This window comes from Homo sapiens, chromosome 19, assembly GCF_000001405.40.
Source record: "Homo sapiens chromosome 19, GRCh38.p14 Primary Assembly".
In the NCBI taxonomy this organism is placed as follows: domain Eukaryota; kingdom Metazoa; phylum Chordata; class Mammalia; order Primates; family Hominidae; genus Homo; species Homo sapiens.
In genome coordinates this window covers 47,862,344-47,869,421 of record NC_000019.10, presented here as the reverse complement: position 1 = coordinate 47,869,421, position 7,078 = coordinate 47,862,344, and the positions used below count along the sequence as shown (strand labels likewise).

At 48.4% G+C, this 7,078-nt stretch overlaps 1 long non-coding RNA gene across 2 annotated transcripts, besides 2 other annotated features; it reads left to right on the top strand.

The window, feature by feature from the left end:
* LINC01595 (long intergenic non-protein coding RNA 1595) lies at nt 61–6,132 on the top strand. Of its 2 annotated transcripts, XR_936006.3 has the most exons (4): nt 61–382; nt 3,967–4,151; nt 4,915–5,017; nt 5,396–6,132. It is a non-coding gene; the product is annotated as a long intergenic non-protein coding RNA 1595 (long non-coding RNA). The 2 variants fall into 2 exon arrangements; XR_936005.3 differs by lacking the exon at nt 4,915–5,017.
* Nucleotides 4,745–5,244: an enhancer, noted in NCBI's record as "H3K4me1 hESC enhancer chr19:48367435-48367934 (GRCh37/hg19 assembly coordinates)". NCBI's record gives its function as "activates a minimal SCP1, AML or CMV promoter by ChIP-STARR-seq in primed H9 embryonic stem cells {active_cell/tissue: H9 hESC(primed)}" and the evidence as "EXISTENCE:reporter gene assay evidence [ECO:0000049][PMID:30033119]".
* Nucleotides 5,245–5,746: an enhancer, noted in NCBI's record as "H3K4me1 hESC enhancer chr19:48366933-48367434 (GRCh37/hg19 assembly coordinates)". NCBI's record gives its function as "activates a minimal SCP1, AML or CMV promoter by ChIP-STARR-seq in primed H9 embryonic stem cells {active_cell/tissue: H9 hESC(primed)}" and the evidence as "EXISTENCE:reporter gene assay evidence [ECO:0000049][PMID:30033119]".
* Nucleotides 6,133–7,078: the final 946 nt, after the last annotated feature.

Below are 7,078 nucleotides of genomic sequence, written 5' to 3'. Positions count from 1 at the left end.
TGAGGCAGGAGAATGGCTTGAACCCGGGAGGCGGAGCTTGCAGTGAGTTATGATCCTATCACTGCACTCCAGCCTGAGCAACAGAGCAAGACTGTCTCCAAAAAAAAAAAAAAAAAAAGTATATTTTCTAGCTGTTTGGCTTTAGCTTAAATTACACAAGTGGAAAGAAATATAATGTTGCCTCTGTGTCTTTTCCATGTTTTTCTCCCACTCGAATGTGGGGTGTCTCTCCCCCATCCCACCTGGAGGTCTTTTGTATGGAAGGAACCAGCCGGTCTAGGTGGCTCCTGGGACACCCCAGGTCCAAGCTCTGGTTGGCCGCTCCCTGGGCTGGAACAGTGACGTATTGTTGCCCCCTGGTGGCCACGGAGCACCATAACGGGTATGTGGAAGCCGAGGACTCTCCCAGTTCTGGGGGTGCCCCTGAATGAACCCCATCTCTGATCTGACCCCACTGTGTCTCTAGAGATACAACTGCATCTCGAAGTAGCAACAATAAAAACCCACAATATCCTTAAGTTATTTCCTGTCAGGCATTTTCTTTAGAAGAATTTCAGGGAAGCAGTCTGAGGTTTTTTGTTGTTTTTGGGGGATATTCTTGAGATGGAGTCTTGCTCTGTCGTACAAGCTGGAGTGCAGTGGCACGATCTCAGCTCATTGCAACCTCTGCCTCCCGGATTCAAGCGATCCTCCTGCCTCAGCCTCCTGAGTAACTGGGACTACAGGCGCCAGCCACCATGCCAGGCTAATTTTTGTATTTTTAGTAGAGACGGGTTTTCACCATGTTGGCCAGGCTGGTCTCAAACCCCTGACCTTAAGTGATCCACCCTCCTCGGCCTCCGAAAGTGTTGTGAATACAGGCGTGAGCCACTGCACCCGGCAGAAACAGTCTGTTAAAATGGGAGTCTGGAAAAAAATTTTTTTTGAGACGGGGTCTTGCTGTGTCATCCAGTCTGGAGTGCAGTGCTACCACCACAGCTCACTGCAGCTTCCACCTCCCAGGCTCAAGTGATCCTCCCTCCTGCCTCAGCCTTCCAAGTAGCTGAGACCACAGGTAGTGCCACCACACCTGGCCAAATTTTTAATTTTTTGTAGAGACGGGGTCTTACTATGTTGCCCAGGCCAGTCTCGAACTTCTGGGTTCAGTCCATCCTTCCACCTCGGCTTCCCGAGATTAGAAAGCGTGAGCCACCTCCTTACCTGGCCTTGAAAACCCTTTTTTTTTTTTAAGACAGAATTTCTGTCACCCAGGCTGGAGTGAAGTGGCACAATCTCGGCTCACTGCAACCTCCACCTCCCGGGTTCACGCCATTCTCCTCCTTCAGCCTCCCAAGTAGCTGGGACTACAGGCGCCCGCCACCATGCCTGGCTAATTTTTTGCATTTTTAGTAGAGACGGGGTTTCACCGTGTTAGCCAGGATGGTCTTGATCTCCCGACCTCGTAATCCACCCACCTAGGCCTCCCAAAGTGCTGGGATTGCAGGCGTGAACCACCATGCCCAGCTGAAAACCCTTTTTAACTAATGAATTTACTGGTGGCTACTATATTTATTTGGTATAAAAATAATGACCATTCGCAGGCTGGGCACAGTGGCTCATGCCTGTAATCCCAGCACTTTGGGAGCCGAGGCAGGCAGATAACCTGAGGTCGGGAGTTGGAGACCAGCCTGACCAACATGGAGAAACCCCGTCTCTACTGAAAATACAAAAATTAGCTGGGCATGGTGGCTCATGCCTGTAATCTCAGCTACTCGAGAGGCGGAGGCAGGAGAATCACTTGAACCGGGAGGTGGAGGTTGCGGTGAGCCAAGATCAAGCCACTGCACTCCAGCCTGGGCAACAACAGCAAAACTCCATCTCAAAAATAAATAAATAAATAATAAATAAAATAATGACCATTCACATCTTTCTCTTTATGGCATTTGATTTTATCTAGGTGGATTTCTGTGAAAGGGACAATCAGATAAGGCAATTTTGAGTTTTCTTTTACTAAAATAGTTTTGTTTGTTTGTTTGTTTGTTTTTGAGACAGTCTCGCTCTGTCACCCAGGCTGGAGCGCAGTGGCGCAATCTTGGCTCACTGCAGCCTCCACCTCCCCAGTTCAAGCGATTCTCATGCCTCAGCCTCCTGAGTAGCTGGGATTACAGGCACCCGCCATCATGCTCTGCTAATTTTTTTATTTTTAGTAGAGAGGGGGTTTCATCATGTTGGCCAGGCTGGTCTCAAACTCCTGAACTTAGGTGATCCACCCACCTCGGCCTCCCAAAGTGCTGGGATGCCAGGCATGAGCCACCACAGCTGGCTTTGGTGTCTTCTTAATAATGACAGTTAGGCATCAACTCCCAGGAGTCTGTCTACTCCATGGCAGGGATTTGACTGAGAACAGCAGTACTCAAGCTTTGCACACTGGAATTGCCTCAGAGCTTTAAAACATACTGGTGCCCCACCCCACCAACCTCACTATTTTTTTTTTTTTTTAAGAGATGGGGCAGGCCAGGTGCTGTGGCTCAAACCTGTAATCCCAATGCTTTAGGAAGCTAGATGGGAGGATAGCTTGAGCCCAGGAGTTCGAGACCAACCCAGGCAACATAGCAAGACCCCATCTCTACAGGAAAAAAATTAAAAATTAGCCTGGCTTGGTGGCACATGGCTGTAGGCACAGCCACTAGGGAGGCTGGGATGAGAAGACTGCTTGAGCCTAAGAGTTCAGGGTTGCAGTGAGCTATGATCACACCACTGTACACCAGCCTGGGTGACAGAGTGAGACCCCATCTCAAAAAAAGAAAAAAAGAAAAAAATCAGGCCAGGTGCGGTGGCTCACGCCTGTAATCCCACTACTTTGGGAGGCCGAGGCGGGCAAATCACCTGAGGTCAGGTGAGGTCAGGAGTTCGAGACCAGTCTGGCCAACATGGTGAAACCCTGCTCTACTAAAATTACAAAAAAAAAAAATGAGCTGGGCGTGGTGGCAGGCGCCTGTAATCCAAGCTACTCGGGAGGCTGAGGCAGGAGAATCACTTCAACCCAGGAGGTGGAGGCTGCAGTGAGCCTAGACCGTGCCATTGCACTCCAGCCTGGGCAAAAAGAGCAAAACTCCATCTCGAAAAAAAAAAAAGAAAATCAGAAACTAGATCCAGAGACCTAGGATGAAGCAGGGTGTTAAAGCAAGAGGTTCTGGCCTGGCACAGTGGCTCACACACTTTGTAATCCCAGCACTTTGAGAGGCTGAGGCAGGAGGATCACATGAGATCAGGAGTTCAAAACCAGCCTGGAAAACATGGTGAAACCCTGTCTCTACAAAATATACAAAAATGCCAGGCTTGGTGGCTTATGCCTGTAATCCCAGCACTTTGGGAGGCTGAGGCGGGTGGATCACAAGGTCAGGAGATCGTGACCATCCTGGCTAACACGGTGAAACCCCGTCTCTACTAAAAATACAAAAAATTAGCGGGCGTGGTGGCGGGCGCCTGTAGTCCCAGCTACTAGGGAGGCTGAGACAGGAGAATGGCGTGAACCCGGGAGGTGGAGGTTGCAGTGAGCCGAGATTACGCCACTTCACTCCAGCCTGGGTGACAGAGCGAGACTCCATCTCAAAAAATAAAAATAAAAATAAAAAAATTAGCTGGGTTTGGTGGTGGCAGGCGCCTGTAGTCCCAGCTACTCAGGAGGCTGATGCAGGGGAATCGCTTGAATCCGGGAGGCAGAGGTTGCAGTGAGCCAAGATCGAGCCACTGCACTCCAGCCTGGGAGACAGAGTGAGACTCCCTCTACAAAAAAAAAAAAAATTGGCCCTTTTCCCCCTCTCTCTGATCCTTACAAGACAATGACATTTCTACCTGCACTGCCTCCATCTCCATCCCGGAGCATGCAGGGCAGTATTAGCTTGAACTTGACCCATTTGTCGAAGGTACAATGAACTGTTCTCATACGTACCCTGAATCCTTTCTTGTTATGCTTTTTGGCTACAGGCAGGAAAACAAGAGAAATTCTTGCTCTTGCCAAGACAGACATGGGGAATTTCGAAGGCCCGCCTTCTGAACGTCACCTCGTCCCCTCTTCCTTGGTCCAGTGAGAAGTCCAGATGCTTCCCTTGGGGATGCCCAGAACACAGCCTGGGATGATGAGGAGAGGCGGGAGAGCTTCCTAGGAGATGGTAAAATTCCCTTGGAATTTTCGGTTTCCAAAGGGAGTGAAGGGGGCTGCTTGCTTGGGTGAAAAAGGAGGGAAATTGAATGGAGAAGATATAGCCGGGGGCAGTGGCTCCTGCCTGTGGTCCCAGCACTTTGGGAGACATGGGCTGGAGGATTGCCTGAGCTCAGGAGTTCGAGACCAGCTTCAGCAACATGGAGAAACCCTGTCTTTATCAAAAAAAAAAAAAAAAAAATAGCCAGGCACAGTGGCATGCACCTGTAGTCCCAGCTACTCAGGAGGCTGAGGTGGGAGAATTGCTTGAAACTGGGAGGCGGAGGTTGCAGTGAACCGAGATCACACCACTGCACTCCAGCCTGGGTGACAGAGCAAAACCCTGTCTCCAAAAAAAAAAAAAAAAAAAAGAATTGAGGCCAGGAGCAGTGGCTCATGCCTGTAATCCCAACACTTTGGGAGGCTGAGGTGGGTGGATCATCTGAGGTCAGGAGTTCAAGACCAGCCTGGCCAACATGGTAAAACCCCATCTCTACTAAAAATACAAAAATTAGCTGGGCGTGGTGGCTAGCCCCTATAATCCCAGCTACTAGGGAGGGTAAGGCAGGAAAATAGCCTGAACCTGGGAGGTGGAGGTTGCAGTGAGCCGAGATTGCATCACTGCAGTCCAGCCTGGGCAACAGAGCGAGACCCTGTCTCCAAAAACAAGAAGAATTGAGGAGATTAAAAAGAGAGGAATTCTGTTCTACTTAATCCATTCACTTTCTGTTCAGCTAATCAGGGCATGTGCAAACTCCATCTTCATTCATTAACAAACTAATCCGTGGCCCGGCCTGGTGACTCATGCTTGTAATCCCAGCACTTTGGGAGGCCGAGGTAGGTGGATCACCTGAGGTCAGGAGTTCCAGACCAGCCTGGCAAACATAGTGAAACCCCATCTCTACTAAAAATATAAAAATTAGCCGGGCGTGGTGGCGGGCACCTGTAATCCCAGCTCCTCGGGAGGCTGGGGCAGGAGAATCGCTTGAACCGGGGAGGCAGAGGTTGCAGTGAGCTGACATCGCGTCACTGAACTCCAGCCTGGGTGACAGAGTGAAATCCTGTATCCAAAAAAAAGAAGAATTGAGGAGATGAAAAAGAGAGGAATTCTGTTCTACTTAATCCATTCACTTTCTATTCAGCTAATCAGGGCACATGCAAATTCCATCTTCATTAATAAACTAATCCATTTTCCATTCATTGATATGCCTGCAGGGCCCTGGAGCACCACCGTCCCTCCCCTAGGCCCAGGATGTGATTCTGAATCTACAGTCAGACTGGACCACCTCTCCCCCATGCCCCCAGAATGTCCACAGGGGCTCCCTCGCCTACAATAGATGGATTAGATTCCTCCCTACTCTTCCCACACTGTCAGAGTCTGACTGGTGTGAAGTTCCGGTGTTTTTGTGTGTATTTTACTACCAGGGTCGGCTAGATAAGGAGGAGCTTTCATTACATCCTGGAAGTCTGTCCCCCGCACACACGCACAGCCGTCCTCCCTTCCCCCAACATCTGATCTAATTCTCTCTCTGCTTTGCTGAGGCTGGCCTGGCCTAAGAGGATTAGAGCATTTGCTAAACGGGACCAGGACAGGCAGGGTCAGAGAACCCGCTGTGGGGAGACCCAGGGCCAGGATGGCCACTAGGGGGCGGCAGAGGAAGCGAGACGCGGAGAGGGGTGTGGAGTGCTGAGGAGAGGCACTCGTCGGCTTAGCAGCAATCAATGTCCACAAAGTAACCATGAAGTTTTATTCATTTTTAAATTTACAATGTCCAGCTAAGTTATGAGAATTCAAAAGAATTGAACTAGGTTCCTGGAAACAAAATAAACAGATCAACTGAATTCTATGTGCAAGACAAACATTTTTTTAAAATAAGAAATTTAAAATACCATGTAAAATATCAGACAATAATAAAAATGAAGTGCAAGAAATAAATCTACAGAAAGATGCATGCAAGAGCTCTGTGATTAAATAATAACATTTCAGCCAGGCACGGTGGCTCGCGCCTGTAATCTCAGCACTTTGGGAGGCCGACGGGGGTGGATCACCTGAGGTCAGGAGTTCAAGACCAGCCTGGCCAACATGGTGAAACCCCATCTCTACTAAAAATACAAAAATTAGCCGGGCGTGGTGGTGTGCTACTGTAATCCCAGTAAGCCCAGCTACTCAGGAGGCCGGGGCAAGATAATCACTTGAACCCAGGAGGTAGAGGTTGCAGTGAGCCAAGATTGCACCACTGCACTCCAGCCTGGGCGACAGAGCGAGACTCTGTCAGAAAAATAATAATAATAATAACAATAACAACATTTCATGAAGAACCTTTGTAAAACACCGATTGAATGAATATAAATAAGTACTAGGTCGACTAGACTTTGTAAAAATTTCAATTTCTCCCAAAAACACTTCTAAATTTCATGTCATTCCAATTAAAATTCCAACAATTTTCTTGAAGAAACTTGAAAGCTCAAGTCTGGGCAACATGGAGAAACCTTGTCTCTACAAAAAATACAAAAATTAGCCAGGTGTGGTGGCCCACACCTGTAGTTCCAGCAAGTCAGGAGGCTGAAGTAGGAGAATCACTTGAACGTGGGAGGCGGAGGTTGCAGTGAGCCAAGATGGCACCACTGCACTCCAGCATGGATGACAGAGTGAGACCCTGTCTCAAAAAAAAAATAAACTTTTATAACAGTTTTTGTCCATCAAGTCTGATTTTTAAATTGAGTTTTTTCTTCTACTGAAGAATGAATCTGCTGATGAATGTTTTGAATGCTATGCACAGTGATCTACTTAACAAAAGCAAGAAGACGAACCACATAATAGGAGATCCTCGCAGAATATTAACTCCCAATGGAGTTTTATTTTAAAACATCGTGGCCGGGTACAGTGGCTCACACCTG